The sequence below is a fragment of the Homo sapiens genome, chromosome 13 (assembly GCF_000001405.40).
Source record: "Homo sapiens chromosome 13, GRCh38.p14 Primary Assembly".
Classification (NCBI taxonomy): domain Eukaryota; kingdom Metazoa; phylum Chordata; class Mammalia; order Primates; family Hominidae; genus Homo; species Homo sapiens.
This window is the reverse complement of record NC_000013.11, coordinates 46,645,445-46,671,897: the sequence shown is the minus strand read 5'-3', so window position 1 is coordinate 46,671,897 and position 26,453 is coordinate 46,645,445. Positions and strand designations below refer to the sequence as shown.

Here is a 26,453-nt window from a genome sequence, read left to right as displayed (position 1 = left end):
TGTAACAAATGAACCACTCTGGTGGGGAACGTTGATGACAGAGAGATTGTGCATGTGTGGGAGTAGAGGGTATGTGGGATATCTTTGTACCTTCCTCTCAATTTTGCTGTGAACCTAAAACTGCTCTTAAAAATAAAGTCTGGTTTTTTTAGTTGTTATTCATATTGTATTTGCAAATCCTAAACCAAATTTTAGCAACCATGGATTTTGTGGCTATCAGATACCTAAAAGAAGCATTAAAAGAAAAAGCAGCAGCATATGACCGTCACTTTCATCCAAAGCTTTCACCTAGGAAATTTTTTGTTTCCTAGAACCAGTTAAAATGGCACCTTCTGAGTTATGTGGACAGCAAGATTGAGTCTTCCTGCCCCCTCAGCCCCATTCAGGCCCAGCACCTGACGGTCTTCACAATCTGCCCCAGCCATCTTTCCAGGTTCACCTTCCACCATTCAACAGTAACATTCAGCAAACATCTGCTGGGTGCCTATCAGGTGCCAGGCACCTGGGATGCAACAGCAAGTAAGCAGCTATCAGGGTGTGGGGGGAGCTGGCACAGAGAAAGCCAAGTAAGAAAACAACTGTGATGCTATGAAAATTGAGTAATAAGTATGGAGTGCTTGCCTTAGGAGCACCTAACTCAGGCTTGGAGGATCTGGGAAGGCTTTTTGGACAAAGTGAGATCTAACTTGGCTAAGAACTAACCAAGAAAGGAGCGGGGAGGAAGAAACAGCCCATGACGAAAGAGTGATGTGTGCACAAGTCCAGAAATGAAAATGAACAAGGTGCATTCCCAGAAGGTAGGAACTTGGAGAGTGAAGGTGCCAGTGGCAAGAGATGAACCCGAAGAGGTGAGCAGGGGCCTGACCACAGAAGGCCTCGAATGCCCTGTGAAGGAGTTGCCTGTGGCCTAAATCTAAGGCAGTGGGCATGAGGAGGGTGTGCCCAGCCCCATTCTATCTACCTAGACTTCAGCAGGATTAAACGGCTTCCTACTCCCAAGCACGACATGGACTTCTAGGATGTATTGCCTTTGCACAAGCTGTCCCTTCTCCTTGAATGCTTTCCCTGTCCCTGACTTCTTTTTTCCTCCTAGGAAATCCCACATGGGCTTATTTAAGGGGCCTCTCAAAGGGCTCTTCTTTTCCAAACCTCTCACAACCCGAAGACTGAATTAATTAATCATTCCCTGCCTCGTGCACATGCTTCTTGTAATAGAAACTTTTGGGGACAGGGTTGGGGGGGGATGGGCAGTGTCTGCTCAAATTAATATCTGTCTTCTTTCAGAATTACCCCCTTTGGTGGCAGCCCAACAGCCACATCTGAGCAGTGTGACCATGTGCCTTGGGCACAGCAGACTCAGTCGGCGAGAACATCAGACCAGATCTGCCTCTCACTTAGAACCCAGGGCTGAGAGATGCTAGTAGGTCTCTTGCTAGGTGCTTTACCTGGGAGAACATTTAAACTTGGGCAACCTCTGCCGTTGTATGGAAGAGGAAAAGCTGAGCAGAAAAATGAACCGCTGCCATGGTCCTTCACAACATTCCAGTGTCTTGTCCTAGTCACTCATGACCTGTGACCAAATGTCTTCATCGTAAGTGATCTGATGGACCCCTGTATCCTCTAACCAACGCTGACTTTTGGTGTGAGCTAGCTGGAATGAGTTTTGGACAATGCTATCAAATAATCCATGAAAAAGACACTTTCTATAGCTCTAACGTCTTTCTACAGCAATTATTAATTTCTATATTAAAGTCAAAGTTGATACGTATGTGACATGGGTGCCATCACTCTCCTAGCCCAATCCCACTAAAGACATGACTAAGCAATCACAGCATTCTCTATCTGGGCCTCACAGGCCAGCACCGTGGTGCTCCGGGTGGCCCCAGAGGAGTTGGCACAAAAGACAAAACTTATTGGCCATCATTGTTCTAGACTGGAATCTACTGAAAGACAGGTACTGTGCCCTTTTCATCATTTAATCACATCAAGCCCTGTGCCTGACACAAGATCAGGATGGAATAAGCCAATGCTTAGATGATAAATGAAGACTATCACCTTTCAGCCTGACTGCTAACTCCTGCTTCTTCCTTCACCTATGTTAGCTCAATGGAAGTTTAGAAAGTATTCATTCTTTCCCAATTTAGAAAAAGGGTAAATAATTAAATTAGTAGTGAAAGAGCTGAAATATAACAGTGCATCTCAGCTTCACACACATTTGTAATCCATCTCTGCTCATCTATAGCTTGTTCTCCTTTTCTATCCCTAGGGACACGGTCACATTTTAAAATTACAACGATTTGCGACAATGATTTCTAAAATCTCGACAGAATCAGAGCACCCCATTCTTTCTGTCTTCTGACTTAATTTTATACCTTCATGAAGTGTGGCCTACTAACTTATTTGGAGATTATTTTGGCAGTTTAGCCATAATTTTTTACAAATTTATATGCAATCTGAAAATACTAACTACAACATGATAGCCCATAAACTTCAAAAACGGCAAATCCTGCAAACTTCAGGAGCTGTAAATTACAGGAAGCCTTTAAATTCCAGGAACTGTGTCTGTCACAGTGAAGTTTCAAAGCTGTTCCTCTCCCCACTTAATGTCTTTATCATATACCTGCCCTCAAACAACAGAGGCTCTACCTTGTCCAACCGTAGCAAAAAGGTTTTCTGAATACCTTGAGAGGCTATGATCAGTCAACCAACAAAAAAGAGCATCTTAAAAATCGGTAACATACCAGCTCCATTAACTGTTTGAGCTGACCTATCTCTTCTGGTAATGATCCAAGTTTGTTGTTACTTGCGATTAAGACTTTGAGAGGCAGACCACACAGGCAGGCAGGCAGGGCGGACAGCTGATTTCGACTGCAAAGACAATACAACAAGAACACATGTAAACAGAAAGGCCACTTCATACTGTCTGTGAACCTGTTTTTAACAAGAAAGGAAAAAGGAGTGATCTGAGAAGACATTTTACAAATACAAGAAGTCCAATATATTTTCTGTGTGACAACTCAAATGACAAGTATGTAAGAAAACAAAATATGTTTTTCTTTTTTTAAAAAAAAATAAAAAATAAAAAATAAGGGTATGGGCAGTTCTCAAAGAGACAACTTTATTCAACACAAGGAATGCCATCAAAGTCCCCCCGCCACCCCGCCACCCCGCCACCGCCACTTAGAAGCTGAGCCCTCGGCCAGCCAGGAGGCAGATGGAGAGCACATCCTGCACAACCAATAGCAACGGGAAGCTGGTGCCAACTGCCCTCTCCTGACAATGTGTGCAGGAAACTCAGCTGGACCAAAGCAACCAGCACCACACAGGCATCATTTCATCCATTGCAGTAGGGATGGGGAAGATAATTTTGCTGCAACTCACAAAACCACCGGGCTCATTTCCAACATTTTGACTCAGCTTCCTTTTGTTAAAACAAGGGTTGCTACAGTTTAAGTCTGTTTTGGTATCTGCAAGAGAGCTAACTAAAAGAGAAAGAAAGGAAAGTTGGTCTTCTGGCAAAGTGGAACTGCAGCCCAGAGGGGTTTAGTTCCACAGAGCAGCCAAAAAAGTCTAAGTTGATGTCTCATCTCTGCTCTACAAGAAGAGGGTCTCTACCCAGAAGTTTCTGAACTTTCTATCATCAATGCTTAGTTTTCATGGAGATGGAAAATACTAGATAAATAAAATCTACGAACCATCCTTATTTATATGTCAGCCATTTATTTCAATCTCCTCCCCCACAAAAAGCCCCTTTTTCCTGCTACCAAGCAAAAAGACAGATGGGTTTCAGTTTCCCTTTCTTTCTCTGCCCTTCTGGTGTTGAAGCCAACAACCACAGAGTGAAATATCTAAAAATCTGTATGTCATTCAGTGTAACTATTTAATAAAACTGCTGTGTGTTTGCACACACATGCATAAAGTTTCAGAAGCTGTGTTCCTGTGTGAGTGTATTTATAGACATGCATGTATCTGTGTATGTGAGGGGGAGAGACAGACAGAATGGAAATACACCAAAATACTATCGGTACTCCTCTTCGGGTATAGGTACAATGGATGGTTTTTATTTCCATTATTATACTTTGATGTATTTTCCAAACTTTCTACAAGTGCTTTTATCATCAGGAAAGAAACATCATTATAAAATGATAAATGTGACCTGGATATGTGTTACGAGTGCTCCTATTTGTGAAAATTCTTTATTTTTTATTTTTTATTTTTTTAATTATACTTTGAGTTCTAGGGTACATGTGCACAACGTGCAGGTTTGTTATATATGTATACATGCGCCATGTTGGTGTACTGCACCCATTAACTTGTCATTTACATTAGGTATATCTCCTAATGCTATCCCTCCCCCCCTCCCCCCACCCCACGACAGGCCCCGGTGTGTGATGTTCCCCTTCCTGTGTCCAAGTGTTCTCATTGTTCAATTCCCACCTATGAGTGAGAACATGAAAATTCTTTGAGATGTATACTTATGATCTGTGCACTTTTCTGAATATATGTCATTCTTCAATTAGAAGTTTGACTCTCCTCCATATGAGGGAGCAGAAATCTGGTTAACTGAAGGGCAGCTCTACCTGATGAGCTCAGAAAAAGCAGGTGCTGTGCTGTGGAAAGAACCTTTCTAATCTGGGCACGGCCTTGTCAACACCTTGATATCTCTGCTGCTCCAGGGCACTCAATTACCCATGTAACTATGTTTTAGCAAGAAGAGATACAGTCATATCTTCTCTCCATTGTGCAGACCCATGGAAAAAGCTATTTCCAGAAAGAGGCAGATTTTTCTTTAAGAGGGTCCAGCAGAAGGAGGGAGGAGATTGAGTGCCCTCCTGGTAGGTTCCTGGCTTGCAAAAGACCAACCAGCTCTTCACTTTCCCTAGTTAGCAGGATTGGACCAAGAGAATAAGGGCAATGGGCCCGCACTGGCACTCTCTCCTGGTCTCTGGGGACGGTGGAAGGGAGGAGCTAGGGCCAGCAGCCTGTGTTTCTGCCTCTCACATCCCTCCCAAGGCTCTCTCTCACCAGCAGGGGCTCAGTGGGACTCTTTTGGCTGGAGGAGGGGGTCTTCCTGTTACCCTGCTGTGAGGGCTTTTTTCAAGCTCCAAAAAAGGCTCCTTCAGAAAAGAGAACTCAGTTTATTAAAAGGTGGCAAGCAAATAATTTGAAATGTAACTTGTGGTTATAAAATATTTGTTAATATGCAATTTTATAAAGTGAGGATCGGCAAATAAAAATGTTAATAAGGCAAGTCTATTTATTTGGAGCCATACGTAAACCTCCTTTTGAAGAGGGATAATGAGAACAAAGATTAGTATTTTCAAGAAAGTTCTACATTCCTATTTTTAGCAGAGTTAACAAATACAAGTTAAGATCTTTCCTACATTTCTTTGCCTGGAAACTCAGAGTTACACTCTAAGTTATCCGTCTCACTAGTTGGTGCAGGGATCTAACCAGATTAGCAGATATGGAACTGGGAGAGTCATGTATCATACTACTTTGAGAAACACAAAGAAAGTTCTGCTCATTCAGATGCGTGAGTATTTGAGATTACATGGGTTTATTCTCATTGGAAATCTTCCAGAGTGGGTACTTACTTAAAATAAAATAAAATTTAAGCTTGTGAAAACATTCATGGTCTCTTTGAGGGGAACGGATGCTTTTTACACTAAAAGCTGCTGATGGAATGGCCTATCTCATATTTATGTTCCATATATGTCTTGTTTACACTGTAGTTAATCATCTGTAGACTTACCAATTCACCATGCTAAGAATTTAGTCACCGTACAGCAGGCCACAGACCTGGGGCACATTTCTTCGACTTCATCTCTCTGCTCCCTCAGCCTCTACTTCATATATTTTATCACAGGATGTTCCTGTATTACTTGTAATTTCCCCAATAGAAAAAGGAAATACACAGGCACACAAAAGCCCATTTGCTCTCCAGCAAATATTTAGACAGGAGAGGAAAAGCTGCATTCCCTTTAATCCTCTACCCACTAGCAACCACAGCAGCAGCCTCAGCTTTTTGAAACCACTCTTCTGGCAGCAATTTTTCTCAAGCAAGTAAGTGCCTCAGGCCACAATCCACTATCCTACACCCCTGGTCTTCTGCAGCCTTGGTGCTATAAACTGGCTCTGTGCTGAAAGAACGTTTGAAAATAAGGCCATATTGTATCCGACAAGCTACATCACCAGAGCCAAGTCTACACCCCCACCCCTACCCCAAACCTGTCTCTTTGTCACTGTCCCTGCAGAGTCTGGGTTGAAGATCAGGGTGGGGAGGAAAGAGAAAGAGAGGGAAGGCAGTGGGCTTTTACCAGATCCATATTATTGTGAATGCTTCATCTTCCATCTTTTTCAGTTAAATGACTTCCTGCTGGATTCATTTGTCTATTTCATCATTTCAAGATGAAATAAGGCAGCTCAATATAATCTAAACATTCTTGGCAGCCTAAATTTGCAGGATACATTTATCTTGGCTTCAAGTACCACTATCCCTCACTTAACTCCTAAATTAAGGAATTTACAAACCAAATCACTTTTTCTGGTTTTACTTTTAGAGTATTATTTTGATGTATTTTGACTATGGCACTTATTGATGTCCATAGTTTGAGTCTCAATCTTAGTATCTGATATTATTTATTATTGGTTTATCAAAAGGTTATTTTCCTTAAGATATGTGATTATAAAGACATGCTATGTTCTTACAGGTGATTTTATTAACAGAGCATAATACCCACATTTTTAAATTCTACTGGAATATACCTCTGTATTTTCAGTGAATGGATTCACTTAACAGAATACAGAAAATTATTTTCACTTAGAAAATAATTTATAGAAAAATTTATATAACAAATTTACTCACTCAATTGGCTGCTTGGTGTGGCAGAAAAGTCACCAATTGTAAAAACCTTTCAGATTGTCAAGAGACTGCCCCTCCCAGACTAAGCCAATTTTTAAGTAAGAGATAAAGAGAGAAAGGCCACCTGTTGTGAAATTTTAAGACCTGGGTTCAAATACCATAGAGATGATTTGCCACAAATCAGGTAAATCATTTAATCTCTCTGGTTTTCTCAGCTATAAAACAGAGACAATAAGACCTACCTAACACGACATTATAGATGTGAAAATGCTTAGCCCAACACCACATCCATATATAAAGATTAAACCTCACCTAGCCACTAATGTAACAAAGCAGCGAGGAGGTGACCATAGAGAGCATAGGTGTGCTCAGCTCGATTTTACAGCCACGTGTTGCTTAATGACAACGATACCTTCTTTAAAATGCTTCATCATGCCATTGTGTTATTGTGTGAATATCACAGAAAGTACTTACACAAACCTAAGTGTCTAGCCTACTCCATGGCTAGGCTATATGATATAGCCCATTGCTCCTAGGCTACAAACCTGTACAACACGTTACTGTACTGAATACTGTAGGCAACTGTGACACAATGATAAGTATTTTTGTATCTAAACACATCTAAACATAGAAAGGGTAATGTGTTATGCTCAGATGTTAAGATGTGGCTACAACGCCTATGTCACTACGCCATAGACATTTTTCAACTCCATTATAATCTTATACCACTGTCACATATGTGGTCCATTGTTGACCAAAATGTCATTATGTGGTGTATGACTCTATTTATTAATTTTACTTATTGTACATCCTAATTGCTAAAATTTTAGCCACCTTTAAAATATGGTTTAATGTTTCCCTCACTGAAAACATATACCAATTAAAAATAAAGAGATAGCTCAGACATGCCAGGGTGAATCAGGCTGGGCTATAAAATTTCAGGCCCAAACAAACCATGTACCTAATTCCAATCTGGATAACCAAGACTACAACATATAATCCTATAAATGACATTTTCTCTCTCATCCTTCCTAATTCCAGGATCCTGCCATTTCACTGGAAAAGCATGAATATCCAGGGGTTACAATCTCTGTTTACTACTTGTTTTCAAATAGTAATGGAAATAATGATGTAAAGTCATTAACCATCACAAAACTATTAAGGAAATGACACAGGCCTGAATCTAAAGAGTGACAGAGAAAGCTGGGCAGGTTTCACAGCGTGGATACTCTGGGCTTATCCAATACTGAGTCTCAGCAAGGGAAAGGAGCTAGCAAGGATCCAGTCATTGTTGATTTGAATATTACTGTCTGTGCTTGGCACTCGACCTACAGTAAACAGCAATTATTTTACTTTAGCCTAGTAAGTTTCCTTTTCACAGGATACCTCACCTAATTTTGTTTTTATGCTCTTTTATGAATACCCTGTTTGCTTCTCATCAAAGTTAGAGTAACTTTTTGCTGTTTTGCATATGACACCTGACTGTTGTCTTTATATGCACACAGCAGTGAACAATATCCATAGAGAACCATTTCCTTTTTCCTGCTTGTTCCATTCTGAAAAATCCACCATGGCAAAATGTCTCACCCTGGTTCCCCCTAATGACTGAGTGCTTCCCCTTCATTGCCTGCCCTTCCCCTACATTCCACCATCATTAATTACACGTCTAAGACAATGAGCAACAACAACAACAACAAAAGCTTTGCTTTCAGTTGCCTGGTGACAGTCTGGTCAACTGTAATTTTATGCTATAAAGCTAAAATCAAATAGAGACTATCTTTACACTTATGTAAAGCTAAAAAATAACATTTGACATTAATTTTTAGGACAGAGATTTATTATTATCTTATATATTTATATTATAGGTGCTTAATTACATAATGTATATTAAATCTGGGAGCCTAAGTTTAAATCTAACTTTGAAAGCAGTTATGCTAACTACAACCTGACTGTGACAATCATTTGAAGACTTAAAATGTTTTCAGACTAGAAAAACAGAATCATCATTTGAATTGAATCTGAAACAAGTCTTGAAAGCTACACCAATCAATTTCACACTCCAAACACATAAAAGCCATGTGTTGAGAAGGTAAAAGATTAACTTTAGAAAAGAGAACTGCGAGAAGAGCAAGAAAACAAAAACAGAGTGTCTAAAGCAAGTCTGAATTCAGGCAAATTTCTGCAACAGTCATTTATTTCACAGTGCATTTTCCTATGCATACCTGCACCATATTTGACCTCTTGCAACTGAACTGGTTTCCCACAATAATAGCCTATCTCCTCGTGAGTATAAATAAACCACTGCTTAAAATATTCATATATATATATTCCCCCCAACGGTCAGCAACCAATGTAAGCTACCAATGTCTACACTTAGATTTCAAAGGGCAGTTTTGATAACTAGCTCTATCTTAATTATTTTCTCTCCTTTCTTCTAAGAGTTCTTCAATTCCAAAAGATCAAGGCCTATTTTGTGCTCTAAAAACCACTGCTTTAAATTTCCTCTATTTTAAAATGGAATTGAATGCTCAAAATCAATTGAGCTTTCAAAATAAGTGAACTGTGGATGTTCAAAGAGAACTCAATATGTAATACCAGCCAAAATATTAATTTTGCAAACACTTTTAGAGGCAACAATGTAGATGTGGGCTTTTAAGTATTAAGACTTGTAGCGGCCTAAGCTCTGGGTCTTGAAAAATACCATTGTGCAGATCATTGCTCCTGGCACACAGGAAATTATCACTAAATGACTAGGAAAGATACACGGGCAGTGGAGATAATTCTCCCACTTTTTGGAGCTATGTGCCAGGTGAAATCAACCCTAGTTTCCTACTATCAGGAAGGTATTCCTACTTTGCTTCTCTTCCATACCACCTACCAAAGCCTAGAAAACATACATTTTCAAGCGATTCTCCTGCCTCAACCTCCTGAGTAGCTGGGATTACAGGTGCACACCACCACGCCCAGCTAATTTTTGTATTTTTAGTAGAGATGGGGTTTTACCATGTTGGTCAGGCTGGTCTCAAACTCCTGACCTCGTGATCCGCCTGCCTCAACTCCCAAAGTGCTGGGATTACAGGCATGAGCCACGGCGCCTGGCCAAAAATATATATTTTTTACTTTAACATCTTTCCCCCTTAAAAAAGGAAAGGGATACTGATACTGACTTAGGTGAGCACAGTCTACTGAGATCAATTTTTACCTAGGGACATTAAGGTAATAAAAATATTCATAATAAAAATTAAGATGCCTGCATATTGCCATTTACCACTTGAAGACGCGTTCCTCTCCATTTATTTCTAGAAATGTTTGAATGTGGAACATGCATGGATATTAGTGTACGTACATCCTTTTTTCCTACTCATCCCTCCAAGGAAATGAATCTTCAGAGAGCTTCTATTGTATAACTTGACAACTACTAATAACTAGATTCTTCTTTAGTGTTCTAACATTTTTACACAGAGTAAAGTTTTGCCAAAAATTTTACTCTTTGCCAAAAATACTAAAAAATCCACTTACTTTACTCAAATACTAGCTCTTTTGACACTTTGCTTCTTAACCCATATTTCAATTTGCATGATGACACAGCATGCCACAAAACTTAATTCAACAAGTCAACAAATATTTCTTGGCTAATATATATAAGGGACTGTGTTGGCACTAAGACGATTATTTTATTTATATTCACAACCATCTTGTAACATAAGTACTAAGACCTCCCACTTTTCAGACACAAAAACTGACATTCAGAGAATTTAAATAATTCATTATAAGTTGCCTGGCTAGTGAGTGCCTCTGTGTTCAGGTTTGAAACCGGGTGGGTCAGGCTTTAGATCAAATTCTGTGATCTCCCCTCTACACAGTGCAGCCTTTTCTCATTTCCTCTGGAATAAAACGTACAGGTAAACCAGGAAAACAGTGGAAGGAGGGCACAGAATTCCAAGCACGAGGCAATGAGATACTGAACTAGTAGTTAATGATTGATTTATGTAAAAATGAATGGAGGAAAGGGGTCAAAGATAATTTCTGAGATTCTGACCTGGGGTGCTGGAGAAAAACAGTAGGAGCATGAACAGAAACAAGGATCGAAGATATACTAATTTGGAAAAGAAGAAAATGGGCTTAGTCTAGAACATACTGGAATTTGAGGGTCACTAGGACATCTAAGAGGAACTGAATATTAGGGAACCGGGGAAATAAGGGCTAGTGCTCAACTGAGTCAAAGGGATAAAGAACATATTTGAGACACAAGAGGCATAAGGTCTTGGAGAGAAGATTGAAGACCAAAGCTTTAGGGAACTCTAGCACTAAGTTGCAGGAAGAGAAAGAATATCCAGATACGGTAATAGAGAAGAAAAAGGAAGTAGAAAAGTGACCAGGAAAGCATGTGACCAAAGACAACAAAGGAAGGCGCTATCATGTCAAATACTGAAAAGAAGTCGATTATTTTCTACACCTGCTGAGTTCCTGCTCTGTCCAAGAACCTGTTCTAAGCTCAGAGAAAATACAAAATGTGTGTAAATCCTAAGACTTTATGTCTAACAAGACTAGCCAATTTCTCTCTAAGCTGGTATCACCTACATCCTACCTGGACATTGATCATATATATATACATTTTTTTTTTGAGACGGCCGATCATGTATTTTTAAAGTGCTGTGGCAGCAGATATTTCCTTCTGGGATTCTAAAAATCTAAGTTAAAAAAACTTATTGACTCCTAGGCCAGGTGCGGTGGCTCACGCCTGTAATCCCAGCACTTTGGGAGGCCGAGGTGGGTGGATCACGAAGTCAGGAGATCGAGACCATCCTGGCCAACACAGTGAAACCCTGTCTCTACTAAAAAAAATACAAAAAATTAGCCGGGCGTGGTGGCGGGCGCCTGTAGTCCCAGCTACTAGGGAGGCCGAGGCAGGAGAATGGCGTGAACCAAGGAGGCGGAGCTTGCAGTGAGCAGAGATCGCGCCACTGCACTCCAGCCTGTCTCAAAAAAAAAAAAAAAGTGACTCCTAAGGAATACAGAAAGTGAGACTTCCTTTACCGATCTTATCATGCAAGGTGGAATGAAAGGACTCCAGGCTGGTCCTAAGAATTCTGTAAACAACTGCTTGCAGATTTTTGGCACCGTGGTCAAATGTTCAAAGGTTGCCTCTGCTGAAAATCCCAGGCTGTTCTCTCCTACTGGTACTGAGGTCACAAGGGTCTGGTTCTGGGACTAATTTACTTGAGGGGCCACAACTCATAACAGTTTACTTAAATTCCCTGAAGATCACCCATTCAAATTATTGATTGAACAAAAGTAAATGAACTGCCCTAAAACACTAGCTACTGCTTCAGCCCACCCCCCACAGCCACCCACACACAAACAAGCTTTCCCAGTTCTTAGGACACACAATCTGAAAGGAAACATTTCACCATCCCCACTGAGTATCACTGCTGATATTCTTTTCGTTCTTTTTGGTTTTTTGCTACTTACAGACCTGTTCCAATAGTTCATGAAAGTGCACAATTCTTGTATGTGGTGATATAAATCTGAAGTATTTGGGCTGGGCGCAGTGGCTCACGCTTACAGTCCTAGCACTTTGGGAGACTGAGAGGGGCGGATCATCTGGGGTCAGGAATTCGAGACCAGCCTGGCCAACATGGTGAAACCCTGTCTCAAATAAAAATACAAAAATTAGCCGGGCATGGTGGCGGGAGCCTGTAATCCCAGCTACTCAGGAGGCTGAGGCAGGAGAATCGCTTGAACCCACGAAGCGGAGGCTGCAGTGAGCTAAGATCATGCCACTGCACTCCAGCTTGGGTGACAGAACAAGACTCAACAAGTCTCAATAAATAAATAAATAAATAAATAAATAAATAAATAAATAAATCTGAAGTATTTGGAGTATCAGAAAAAAAATTGTGAACAATTTTGCAACAGGCAAAAAGAGTACCAGGTGCCTTGTCTAATGTACCTTTCCAGGTTATCTCTGCCTGCAGACCTGCAGATGCAAAATGTGTTACAATGGAGGAAATGTGAAGCCCCAAATTAAAATGTTAAATTTGCTGTACTTACTATAACCCTGCATACCAGACTTAGAAAACATATATTGTTTTCAAGCGTATGTGGAATATTTACAAAATTAACTATGCATAGCAAAACTTGACCAATCTAATGAATCTATTTCAAACAGATAATATTCTCTGACACAATATAACTAAATTAAAAGTAAACTTTTAAAGATAACTTTAAAAACTGTTCTATAAATATTTAGCCCAGGTGTGGTGGCTCACGCCTGTAATCCAAGCACTTTGGGAGTCTGAGGTAGGTGGATCACTTGTGTCCAGGAGTTTGAGACCAGCCTAGGCCACAGAGCGAGACTCCATCTCTATAAAAAAATTTAAAAATTAGCTGGGCATGGTGGTGCATGCCTGTAGTCCCAGCTCCTGCGGAGGCTAAGGTGGGAGGATAGCTTAAGCCTTGGAAGTCAAGGCTGTGGTGAGCCGTAATTGCACCACTGCACTCCGGCCTGAGTGATGGAGCAAGACCCTGCCCATCACCAAAAATGAAAATAAAAAGAAATTTAACACTCACAAGCCACAGAAGTAATAATGGAAAGTAGAAAAGCCTGGGAGTGATTAACAACCACTGCATAGCAAAACTTTTAGGAGTCAGCTAAAGCACTATGGACAGGGAAATTGTGGACTTAAAAGCTCCTGTAAGAAAAGAAAAAATCACTGGTAATCAATGAGCAAAATATCCAAAATCAAAAGCTAAGTTAAAAAAAAGTTATTAAAACACACCATCTTCCATAAAAGTGGATAAAGAAAAAGAATGCACAAATTTATAGTATTAGAAATAACAATGGGAACCAATTATAGCTACAGTAGAAATTTTAAAAATACAAAGGCCTTCCTTGTGTAAATACTGATGTTGTTCCCTTGGAAAATCCCTAACAACTATTTTCATAATTATGAAACTGTCTTAAGGGGCATGAAATGCAATAGAGATCATGTTCAACAAGGTAACAGAGGTGAAAGTGCTTAGTGACCTATAAAATGTCAAAGAAATATATCTCATTCATTTCTATTAATTATGAAATAGTGTAGCCTAGGGATAAACCACTTTCCTATTTCCTATCCAAAGTTAAGGGTTGTTGAAGGGCTCAGATCTGATGGTGTGATGGTTAATCTTAAATCCTATTTAGCTATTAAGAAGTAGTGGTGGCTAGGCATGGTGGCTCACATCTGTAATTCTAACACCTTGGGAGGCCAAGGCGGGCAGATCACTTGAGCCCAGGAGCTCGAAACCAGCCTGGACAACATAGCAAAATTCCATCTCTACCAAAAAAAAAAAAAAAATTAGCTGGGCATGGTGGCGCACGTCTGTAGTCCCAGCTACTAGTGAGGCTGAAATGGAAGGGTCACCTGAGCCCAGGGAGGTCGAGGCTGCAGTAAGCTGTGATCACACCACTGCACTCTAGCCTGAGCAACAGAGCAAGACCCTGCCTCAAAAAAAAAAAAAAAAAAAAAAAAAAAAAAAAAAAAAAAAAAGAAAAGAAAAGAAAAAGTAAAAATGAAAGAAGAAAGAAAGAAAAAAAGTGGTGGTGGTGATGATCCCCAAAATCCACACCTTTCATATATGTATGTTTTAAAAAAAAAAATCTCTCTTTTTCTCTACAGCACTTGTTATAGGACTTGGTAAAGTGCAGTGTTCTTAGAGGATATATAGTAAGTTGATTACTGATGAAATGGCAATGTTTCACAGTGCTTTTTATCTGTCTCATTAGACAAATAAATGCAATTTGGAACTTGTTCATTTGGGGCTGGCAGAATAAACTTTGACAATATATATATTGTAAACAAAATAATATATACAACAAAAAAAAAATACAATTGAATTAGGAGTGGGTATTTACCTCAGTTCCAGAGCACTAACCTGCTGCACAAAGATCTTAACAACTCTATTAAGATCAGAAACAGAACTGAAAACAAAACCAACACATTCTGACACTACTGTAGTTATCAAAGTCATAATATCCCTTTTGTGTCTCTCTGTTCTTTTTTTCAATACACACTGATCCAAAACAACAGCTATGATCAGGTGATATGTAATAATGGGAAAATCCTCCTTGGAAGTTATGCCAAATATGAACTATCCTAAAAGGAATTCAATCTGATAAGAAATAGCCAATCATTCACTCATTCACACTTTATAAAGCCTGTCAGCTACCAATGGCAATGGACATAATTTTACAGGCACAATAATTTATAAACACATTAATAATTTTAGGGACCATTGGCTACGGGTTCCACCTTGAAAATAGATGCCCAGTGAGCACTAGAAAAGGCAAAGCGTAAACTCCACATGGTTGGCCGTGCGTATGCACTGGATGACTCCAATGGCCTCTTCCAACTCTGCTATCCTGTGAAAAATATTTTCAAATTTTAAGTCAGTTCACTTTCAAACTCCAGTTCAGTTCACTGTGTTTTTGGTGTCTTTCTGCTGATCTGTCATTTCACAAAACAAAACCTGGCTACCAAAGACCAGCTCGAAAATATATACATTAATATACACACTAAAGTGTTCTCATTTTCTCTTTGAATGGGGTAAGATCTTCATGAAAGAATGTGGGATACACATTTTTATCGAATTGAACAAAACTCCTCCTCCTTTCCAGTTTAGGAAGACATCATCAATTCTTTCATTTTTTTAAGAGAGAAGAAACACTAGCCTACAATTGAGACTTTCTTTAGAATTGTCAGTGCAAGGAGAGAAGACATTTCTTCTACAAGTAAGAAGAAATGTAGTTAAATTTAATTTTTAGTTCACAACAAAAAAAGTATAAAGTCTGTGTTTTCTAAGGCAACCCTAGCATGCAAGACACTTGTCCCAATCCAAGATGACTTCTCAGTGTGACTCCCAGAGGAATGTGGGGATACGGGTTATAGGACCATCAGGAAGCTGGCTCTTTCTGCACATTGTTCAGCAGCCGAAAAGAATGCCAGGCTGCAGAGAAAGCAGCCAAAACAGATTCCTTTTATGGTGTGATAACATTTTGTTCAAGAGACCGCCCTGTTCTTTACAGGCAATGCTTCGGAACCCACTCCTAGTAGGTTGGGAGAGGTTGGGGCTTCTAATGAATAAACCAGGCCTAGCTGAGTGTATTTCACCCTAGAAAAGTAAAAGCACTCACCACGACTTCTGGAAGCAATATGATCAAATACTATACAGAACTTTCATTTCTTGGCAGCCGCTAACGCTGAAATGAGACTTTTTAACCAAGGTCCCTATTCTTAGATTCACAACACTCCTACTATTGCCAAGAGTTTTGCTAGTCTGGGTTATTTTATTTTCCTATGGTACATTTTCTTCATGAGGCTCATCAACAACAAACTCTCTAGCATCTTAAAATAGATTTTAAACTTTGTGAGGCTTTCCTGTGTAACTCAGGTTCAAAGTGTTGGTTCCTCTATAGGAACAAATCTTGCTTAATCATTTTTATTGTTCTTGGCCACATGTCTTGGATTAAGACACTTTATAACAGGAAAAGACACAGTGGCACATATACTAAACTAACATAACCTTTTGTTGTGAACGCCAAGAGGCAAAGATTAAAAGCCCAAATCCTTCAAACACAGGCTACATAAACAGCAGTAAATTAATATTTTCCACAAACATAACATTTCTGTCATGTGAGAAAATGTGAAAAATATGTAAGTGTTTTTAACTGCACTTCACAGTAAGGATTTTTTTCATGTGCTAATTAAATTTATCTCTAATTTAGGACTAGAGGTTGTTGGCAACAAGCAGCCTTTTGACATTTAAAGACAACATATCAGCCAAGAAGCTGGTTAGGGAGTGACATATCACCACCACCGCCACCATCATAGTCATCATCATTATCATCACCATCACTATCACCATCACTATCAAATATTTATGGCTGTTTACTCAGCTGAAATACACAATATACCCCAGAGGGTGTAATCAGTTTTGAATGTTTCCCATGAATTCAAAGTAGCTTCATATGGCATCTTCCTACTTTGGAATATACAAAATTAATAATTTCTACATGCAATTTATTGAGAGAAGAAAAAAATCTAAATACAGTGAGGTCACATTGATTTTAAGTACAGACAGACAAAATCTGTGAAAATTTGAAAACCAGCTTCTTGGCACTATTTGATCTAACAAGTCTTTCTTTTCAATTAATAGAAATAAGAGGAAAATTTCTAAGTGCTACAGAAAAGAAAGTATTTTAGGGTACTTGTTTATAAAATCAGATATACTTGCCTATTTGTTAAAGCTCTTTCAGATCATACTATACTTGATATCATCTACCTTAAGTGTGAGCTCAAAAGCAATTTACAGTTTCTTTAATTTTAAGAAATTCACACCGACTTCCCCATACATCAAAATTAATGATAATGTCCTGCATTGATTATATACTTCTATGTTGGATATGTAAGTTTTTTCTTTGGCATACTATCCCATTTATAACTACTGAAGAAAAAACACTAGATTAGCTCTTCTACAAAGTGGTGTGTTTGCAGCATCCTAAGTCTCTGTGTCCTTTTCAAGTGAGGGGATTGGCAGTCTCTCCCCAAAGGTCAAAAGTCAATGAAGTCCACTACGACCCTTCACCATACCCAACAAAATATATATTTTATTTTGCTAACTTAATAATATCCAGGAGGAGCAGAAAAGACGTGAAAAGGCCACCGTGGCTAACCCTGGTTGTTGTGGAGGAGACATCACGTTGTCATCACACACAAGCATGATATTCTGAGTCCCTCCTGCTTACCAGGCTTAGGGATGGCTGGGAGTGGGGTGGTAGTTTGTGGACAGGAAGAACTCACACAGACAACACTATCATGTGGATGATACTACTCAACATCTGAGAAGACTTCAAAAGAATTTTATTAGATGCCACTGGTATTTTCTAGATACAATTACATATTTGGAAGTAAACAAATGTGACAGTCACTGTTTCACAGATACTAATAAATCTTTTAGGCAAAAGCTATATTGCATTCAACATCAAATCTGATAAATATCTCAATTTCAAGGGTCCAATTCCTAGAAGACATGTTTCAACTATACCCAGTAATCAAATAGGAATTAAAGGCCTTGTAATTGAATAACACAAGAGGACCAGCTTTCTGATTACTTTAAAGATTACTCTCATTAATATTTTTATTTTATTTTCTTTCTTTCTTTCTTTCTTTTGAGACAGGGTCTTGTTCCGTTGCCCAGGCTGGAATGCAGTAGCACAATCACGGCTCACCGCAGCTTCAACCTCCCAGACCCTCTCACCTCAGCCTCCCAAGTAGCTGGGCCTACAGGTGCACGCCACCACGCCCGGCTACTTTTTGTATTTTTTTTTTCAGTAGAGACAGGGTTTCAACATGTTGCCCAGGCTGGTCACGAACTCCTGGGCTCAAGGGATCTGCCTGCCTCGGCCTCCCAAAGTGCTGGGATTACAGGCGTGAGCCACCAAGCCCAGCCTACTATTTTATGTTATACATTTATACTCATGTAAAAAATTTTATAGGAGGTTTTGAAAATAATTATATATGTATATATAGTATCTGGCTTTCAAAAACTTTAGAGGATAGCTACACTTTTTTTTATATCTTTATACAATACCTCTGTGAGATAAGCTTTTCCTCAAATTTTCTCTATTTGTCAAATTCCTTCAAAGAGCACATGATTCAGTATGGGAGAATAGGTCTCAAACATGGTAATATTAAAAGTAGGAGAAGTGGGCAAAGAAAAACAGAACAAAAACAGAATGACCCATGTAAGTGGGAGAAAACAGATGCAACCAGGAAGCTAAAAATTACAGACTGTAAACCATATTTGAAGAGTTAGATGCTTAACAGCCTCTTCCTATATTCTTTTTCCTTTCCATTACCCAGGAATTCATCACAAAACTGTTTATAACGTACCACATGGTCCTCTTCAGCCATGATCCGTTTCAATGAATTCTCTGTCTTTGCCTTAAAACATCCTCAGATCCATACTGCAATATATTCTTCCTACCCATCTGAAGACAGCAATAATCTATTCTCAACTGGGGGTGACATGGAAACCATCACACCAAAACCATTTTACTAATGTTCTAAAAATATAATATACATTTTAAGATGACATTATTTAGTGTGATTAGCATTTTAAAATCCCTATCATTGTAAAAGTAAAATGTTATCTATACCCAAAAGTTTCTCAATGAACATGGACTAAATACAACAATGCAAAGTTAAATATATAGACTTACTGCATCCAGGACTACCAGCAGTGAAAATGTCACACACAGCAGGACAGGAGTAGGTAAGTAAACAGACCAACTACACATGCTTTCCCCTGTATATGTTGGAATTAGAGTACAGATGTCTTAGGAGATACTGACCCAAATTCTATAGACACTTATGCTTGCTGCACCAGGAAATTCCAAGGTTATTAACACCCCACTATGGTAGAAACAGCAAGAAAATTCAAAATGGTCAGATAAGTTAGAAATCTGCAAAAGTGAAGATTAGATATATGAGCCTCCAGACAATCCTAACAGTAACCTACACCTTATTTACCAAAAAGAAGTTAAGGCTACTTAAAAACCTGCTAGGATTTTTTTCAACCCTGACAAAAAAAAAAACAAAAAAAACAAATACACTTGGCCAGACGCAGTGGCTTACGCCTGTAATCCCAGCACTTTGGGAGGCCGAGGCGGGTGGACCACGAGGTCAGGAGATCGAGACCATCCTGGCTAACATGGTGAAACCCCGCCTCTACTAAAAATACAAAAAATTAGCCGGGCGTGGTGGCGGGCGCCTGTAGTCCCAGCTACTCAGTAGGCTGAGGCAGTAGAACGGCGTGAACCCGGGAGGCGGAGCTTGCAGTGAGCCGAGATCGCGCCACTGCACTCCAGCCTGGGCGACAGAGCAAGACTCCGTCTCAAAACAAACAAAACAAAACAAAAAAAAAAAAAAAAAAAACATCAGCAGGCCTGGTGGCCGGCGCCTGTAGTCCCAGCTACTTGGGAGGCTGAGGCAGGAGAATGGCGTGAACCCGGGAGGCGGAGCTTGCAGTGAGCCGAGATCGCGCCACTGCACTCCAGCCTGGGCGACAGAGCAAGACTCCGTCTCAAAACAAACAAAACAAAACAAAACAAAAAAAACAAAACATCAGCAGGCCTGGTGGCCGGCGCCTGTAGTCCCAGCTACTTGGGAGGCTGAGGCAGGAGAATGGTGTGAACCCGGGAGGCGGAGCTTGCAGTGAGCTGAGATGGCGCCACTGCACTCCAGCCTGGGTGACAGAGTGAGACTGCATATCAAAAAAAAAAAAAAAGCACTTCTACAGAAATGCAACTTAAACTCTTTTTTTTTTTTTGACATGGAGTTTCGCTTTTGTTACCCAGGCCGGAGTGCAATGGCGCTATCTTGGCTCACCGCAACCTCTGCCTCCCGGGTTCAAGCGATTCTCCTGCCTCAGCTTCGTTGAGTAGCTGGGATTATAGGCATGCGCCACCACGCCCAGCTAATTTTGTATTTTTAGTAGAGACGGGGTTCCACCGTGTTGGCCAGGCTGGTCTCGAACTCCTGACAGGCGATCCCTCCGCCTCGGCCTCCCAAAGTGCTGGGATTACAGGCCTGAGCCACCACACCCGGCCAGAAACTCATTTTTGACTGCAAGGAAAACAAGACAAAACCAGTAATTTTCAGTAGCCAACTAAATCAAAACTAAAAACAAAACTAAAAAACCACTGACATTATACCTGGTTCATTGAACTTTCTGAACTTTGATGTTGGGTATATCTGTTATTCAACACAAGTCTTGCTCCCCTTTGCACACTAACATGACGCAATGACATGAGTAAAGGCTACATTCAGGCTTGCAATTGGGGATCTTGTATTCACCGTAAAGATATATTTGATGAAACAGCTTCCCTTTCTCTCCTGACATCCCAGATATGGGGAAAGGATTTAGAATTTGACCAGAGAACCTAGCTGCAAAGTCTAAAACCAAGGCCTTAAAATAACTGATTTTCTTAATATCAGAGCTACTCAGGGGCATTAATATATGATATTATGTTGTGCATAATCAATCAATGCACATTACTAAACCATGCTCAGCAAACACTGACCTAAGTTAGCGGGATGTAAAGATAGATAGCAAACTTTGTATCTGGCTAGAGTTGTTCAGTGCTCCTCAACTTTCTTAAGAAGGCTTAAAGTGAATGGGCTCAATTAGTACTAGGTAGCAAAGCCCAATGTTACCAATAATTGCCAAAGATCACCCAGGCTTTCTCTTTTTTTTTTTTTTTTTTTTGCTCCTTGTTTGTCCTGACAACCAAACTCTTTTTCACTTCCTTTATACTTCCTCCTCCAAAATCTACATGAATACTTGAAGACAACATAACTACAACCTTACAAATGCCAATTAGACAAAGAGAATAAATGATATAATATAAATCATTTTTTTAAAAAAAAACCTTGTCTTATTCATATTCAGGGAAGTCTAGCACCAAGGACAGTATTAACAACATTACAAATTTATTAGAAAAGTTATTACTTAAAACATCTGTGTGTGACCTACATCAAAGAAAAATCAAGAATTGCAAAAAGGGGAAAAAATGGATAGAAATGAAAGCATAAGTTTTTTATTTCTTTCACTGAATTTGATTACAACTTTTATGTTTAACCTACCTCAAGTTCAGGTAAGTCAGCATCTGCAGATTAACGATGGCCTCAGGAATGACTCTGATACAGTTGTGATACAGATTAAGAATTTCCAGTGATACAAAATGGCACAATTCCATTGGAACTTCAACCAGTCTGTTTTTAGATAAGTCTATAAGAAAAGGAGAGAATATTTTCTCAACAAAATTTGAACAAAATCAATACACTTTTATTAACCACAAACACTGTTTTTCTTAACATTATACATTTTGACCAACATTATCATTTTTTTTTGCACCTCTGTTACTACAGCACTGTGATTTCTATTTCCTTTTTCTATTTCCTTGCCAAATTCTGGGACATGTGGGATTTGGAAAAGCAAAAATACCACTAAAACTTTTTAGCTCTCTAAAGAACTTTTTACTGTAACTAAAAATTATGTCCAACTCATTCTACCAGACAAGTATGCAAAATGCTATCCTTTAACGTATCTGAATACATATATATTTACCAAAATTATTAATTCAATTTTTTTTTTTTTTTTGAGACAGGATCTCACTTGGTTGCCTATACCAGACTGCAGTGGCACGATTTCAGCTCACTGCAATCTCAACCTCCCAGGCTCAGGTGTTCCTTCTACCTCAGCCTCTCGAGTAGCTGGGTCTACAGGCACGCACCACCATGCCTGGCTAATTTTTGTAGGAACATGTCTTTTACATCCTTTACAAATGAACCCATAACAGACAATAACCAAGTACTTTACTCACTAGAATTACTGAGAGCCTATAATATATAAGACTGAGATAAATTGTATCTGTTAAGAACTGACACTATGAAGCACAATCAGCAGTAAAACTGGACACCACTGGGCAAAGGTACCAAAGAAAGCAATCACAGTCCCCAGAGCAGCGTAATCATACAGTACGGCCTACAGTATTACCATCCTGATGATAAGATTATGCAATAGTCCTTAATATCCTAATATCTAAATGAATGGGAGACATGATTGTCAAATTCCAGAAAACATAGACTATAAGGAAAGAACCACTACTTTTGAAAACAACTCAACAATAAGAGATAACCTCACCCTGTATCAGAAGAGACTCAAACAGTAACTGAAGATTTTCAGTAAATAATATGTAACATATACTTAAGAAACCACACCTTAGCCAAAGAAAACACAGAAAATGTAAATATGTCAATATCACAGATGAAATAGATGTTAAAGAGCCACCTTCCCTCCAATAAATAAATATACAAATAAGCAAAATCAGGATGAGATAGCTTCAGAGGGAGAATTCTAACAAACTTTCAAGGAATAATTTTGAGAATGATGGTTTCCAGCTTCATCCATGTCCCTGCAAAGAACATAAAATCGTCCTTTTTTATGGGTTCATAGAGAACACGAGGATCTTATACTATCAAAACAATTCACCTTATAAATAGACCAAAGTGAAATGATATATGATCATCTTCAAGGATATGTAAAAGGCATTTGGTATTAATTTTTAAACAACCTTATTAAGGGATATTTTATATATTTTACACACACCAGCAAAATGACACAAAAGAAGAGATATAATTTATGATAATAGCAAAAGGGCAAAATCCCCAGCAAATCTTAAGGAATATGCAAAATTTATATGAAGAAAACTTTAAAATGCTACTAAGGCAAAATTTTAAAAGGTGATGACAATTATCTCAATTATATCTATATAATTTAAGGCACTTCCAATTTAAACAAAAAAATACTTCCAGAATTTTAAAAAAACTGTTGGGGTTATTGCACAAGTTGATTCTAAAGATCTCATGGTTAAATAATGTGAAAACAGTAAAGTATTTCTCAACAAAGAAGAGCCCTGAGAGGATGAGCTCGCCTGGATATTAAAAACACATCATAGAGCAGTGTGGTGGATAGATGGGAAGGTCAATGGCATGAATTACTAAGATGGGAAATGGGTCAAGAGACATACATATGGAAATCAAGGCCACGGACCAGACTGGTACAGGTCTGCACAGCAGGAGGTGAGTGTCAGGCTGGCAAGTGAAACTTCATCTGTATTTACAGCCACTCTCCACTGCTCACATTACTGCCTGAGCTCCGCCTCCTGTCAGATCAGCTGGGGCATTGAATTCTCATAGGAGCATGAACCCTATTGTGAACTGTGCAGGCAAGAGACCTAGGTTGCGTGCTCCTTGTTAGAATCTAATGTCTGATGATCTGTCACTGTCTCCCATCCCCCTCAGATGGGACCTTCTAGAGCAGGAAAACAAGGTCAGGGCTGCCATTGATTCTGTATTATGGTGAGTTATATAATTATTTCATTATATATTACAATGTAGTAATAATAGAAATAAAGTGTACAATAAAGTAATGCGCTTCAGTCATCCTGAAACCATCCCCCACCCCGGTCTGGGGAAAAGCTGTCTTCCACAAAACCGGTCCCTGGTGCCAAAAAGGTTGGGAACCACTGAAGTGTGCAATAAAGGTGGCATTTCAAATCAACAGGGAAAAGACACAAGGCCAGTAGTTCGAGAAAACTAGATAGCCATTTACAACGAAAAAAAAAAAAAAAAAGATGACTACCTATCTCGCACCTTTTATCTCAATAAAGTCTAGATGAATCAGAGATCTACTGTGAAAAGGGAAGCTGTAATAGCACCAGGACAGCATGGGTTGTGTTTACGATCTCAGAATGGGGAAGGCTTTGTATGAATAGTATAAAGCCAGAGTGCCAAATTCAACACACACAAAAAAGTATGGCATTTTAAAACAAAAACTTCACCATAAACATATATGACAATCAAGGAATGGGGGAGGATGGAAAGTTCTACAATTCCTAAACCTAATAGGCAAATTTTTTATAAACAGAAAGAGCTTCTACAGTTGACAGAAATAAGACAAATCATAAACAAGAAAAGAAAAATAGATATGAACAGATGGCTCACAGAAAATGATATACGAATGGCTCTTAATCATATGAAAAAAAGGATCAACCACACTCAAATTAGAGTGACACAAATTACAACTAAATGGGATAGTATTTTTCATCTATTAGAATGGTGAATATAAAAAAATCTGATAAACACATTGTAATGCTGAGGCCATGGTGATGTAAATGAAGGACATTTTTTGGTAATATCTGTAAATATTACAAATGCACATACACTTTAACCTAGCAGTCTTTCTCATCTACAGATATTCTTATACATATGCAAATGACATACTTTTAGCATGGTTTCTTTTTTTTTTTTTTTTTGAGTTGGAGTCTCACTCTGTCACCCAGCCTGGAGTGCAGTGGTGTGATCTCAGCTCACTGCAACCTCCATCTCCTGGATTCAAGCAATTCTCCTGCCTCAGCCTCCTCAGTAGCTGGGACTACAGGCATGCACCACCACGTCCAGCTAATTTTTGTATTTTTAGTACAGATGGGGTTTCACCATGTGGGCCAGGCTGGTCTTAAACCCCGGACCTCAGGTGAGCTGCCCACCTCGACCTCCCAAAGTGCTGGGATTACAGGCATGAGCCACTGTGCCTGGTCAGTATGGTTTCAAATAGCAAAAGATGGAAAGCAAATAAAATAGAGGACTGGTTAAGTATTAATATACCATTAACAAACATCATAAATATGCTAAAATTAAATCAATCAATATTAATGTAATGTTAATTCTATTTTGTGTGATTGAATGTAATATTAAACATTATATTCCATAATGGAATACTAATACTATGCAGCCATAAAAATGAATGAAGCAGCTCTATATGTGCTGATACAAAACAAACTTCAAAATAGATTATAAGTGTTTAAAAACAAAAACAGTTGCAGGACAGTGCATATAGTATTTGTGGGTTTTAATGAATATTTACATAATTATTTAAATATAAGTAGATTGTGTCTGGAAAGCTACACAAGAAACTGTTTGAAGTGGTTGTTTCTGGAGAGAGGATCTCTGGCTAGGAGGACAGGAGTGAATGGGAGGAACTCACTGTAGATACTTCTGTGCCTTTAGAGATATCAACGCATTGCTTATTTCATTGTGATACATAATATATACATATTATGATAACATATGTAATTGTGTGTATGTGTGTATACACATCTCTGTCTCATTCTCCCATCAGCATTCTTACTCTTTCTCTACACGAAGAATTTCATTTCACTTAAAAAGAATTAAGAAGCAAGAGCAAACTGTGAAGTTCCTCATATTAAATTAAGGAAAATATTAAAGCAACACTCCTTTCACGAATGTTTAGAATCTAAATAGAAAAGAATTCCAGAAGTCTCTTGTGTTCTTTCTTTCTGAAACACTTTACTAGACATAGTGGTCTTGATGTGCTACAGTGCTGGAAGTTTGCCCCGAAAACTTATATGTGTGGTTTCCTTCAGGTTCAACTCAAAGAAAGTTCCACTGAGGGTCCAGTTTACATTCCAAACTTAACCTTTCCTGAGAATTGCTAGAACTATACTATCTAATTGAATGAAAAAGATACAGAATACATGTGCGTAGAATATTTCAAGAACTATTTTAGGTAATGAGAGTGTTTCTGTGATTTCAGCATCACCAATGTTTCTTTAAGCAAGAAGAAAATAGTATTTTTGTAGCAATACTGTCACATAGCTACGAACCTTTTAAAGGACAATGGGACATAAAATTAATAATAGAAACCACTCTAACCTGAGAGCAGAAGACTAGTTCTAAATCTACGACCACCTGAGATGTTTGAGAAAGTTACTCAATTTTCTAGACCTCTGTTTCTGAATAGGTAATATTAAAGTATATACAACTAGATGAGTTCTAACATTCTTTTCAAAGCTAAGATTTATGTGAATAAGTCAAATTTATTCTGAAGTCAAATATATTAAATCAAAAATATTCAAAATCCAAGAAATTTTGTTTCATCATCATAATTAATAGCAGCAGTTAAA

At 38.8% G+C, this 26,453-nt stretch overlaps 1 protein-coding gene across 5 annotated transcripts in view, besides 4 other annotated features; it reads right to left on the bottom strand.

Annotated features, from left to right (window-relative positions):
* LRCH1 (leucine rich repeats and calponin homology domain containing 1) overlaps window positions 1-26,453 on the bottom strand; it is a 199,872-nt gene that overhangs the window by 81,144 nt on the left and 92,275 nt on the right. For all 5 annotated transcript variants that reach the window (XM_017020483.2, NM_001164213.2, NM_001164211.2 and 2 more), the window contains exons 2-3: window positions 21,553-21,697; window positions 2,742-2,868 (exon numbers count right to left, since the gene is read on the bottom strand). In XM_017020483.2, the coding sequence (XP_016875972.1) occupies window positions 2,742-2,868; window positions 21,553-21,697 (272 nt within the window). The remainder of the gene's footprint in view (window positions 1-2,741; window positions 2,869-21,552; window positions 21,698-26,453) is intronic.
* Window positions 3,547-3,596: an enhancer, noted in NCBI's record as "active region_7712". NCBI's record gives its function as "activates an Ori minimal core promoter by ATAC-STARR-seq in GM12878 lymphoblastoid cells {active_cell/tissue: GM12878}" and the evidence as "EXISTENCE:reporter gene assay evidence [ECO:0000049][PMID:35858748]".
* Window positions 3,657-3,876: an enhancer, noted in NCBI's record as "active region_7711". NCBI's record gives its function as "activates an Ori minimal core promoter by ATAC-STARR-seq in GM12878 lymphoblastoid cells {active_cell/tissue: GM12878}" and the evidence as "EXISTENCE:reporter gene assay evidence [ECO:0000049][PMID:35858748]".
* Window positions 4,392-4,441: an enhancer, noted in NCBI's record as "active region_7710". NCBI's record gives its function as "activates an Ori minimal core promoter by ATAC-STARR-seq in GM12878 lymphoblastoid cells {active_cell/tissue: GM12878}" and the evidence as "EXISTENCE:reporter gene assay evidence [ECO:0000049][PMID:35858748]".
* Window positions 23,544-23,713: a silencer, noted in NCBI's record as "silent region_5326". NCBI's record gives its function as "represses an Ori minimal core promoter by ATAC-STARR-seq in GM12878 lymphoblastoid cells {active_cell/tissue: GM12878}" and the evidence as "EXISTENCE:reporter gene assay evidence [ECO:0000049][PMID:35858748]".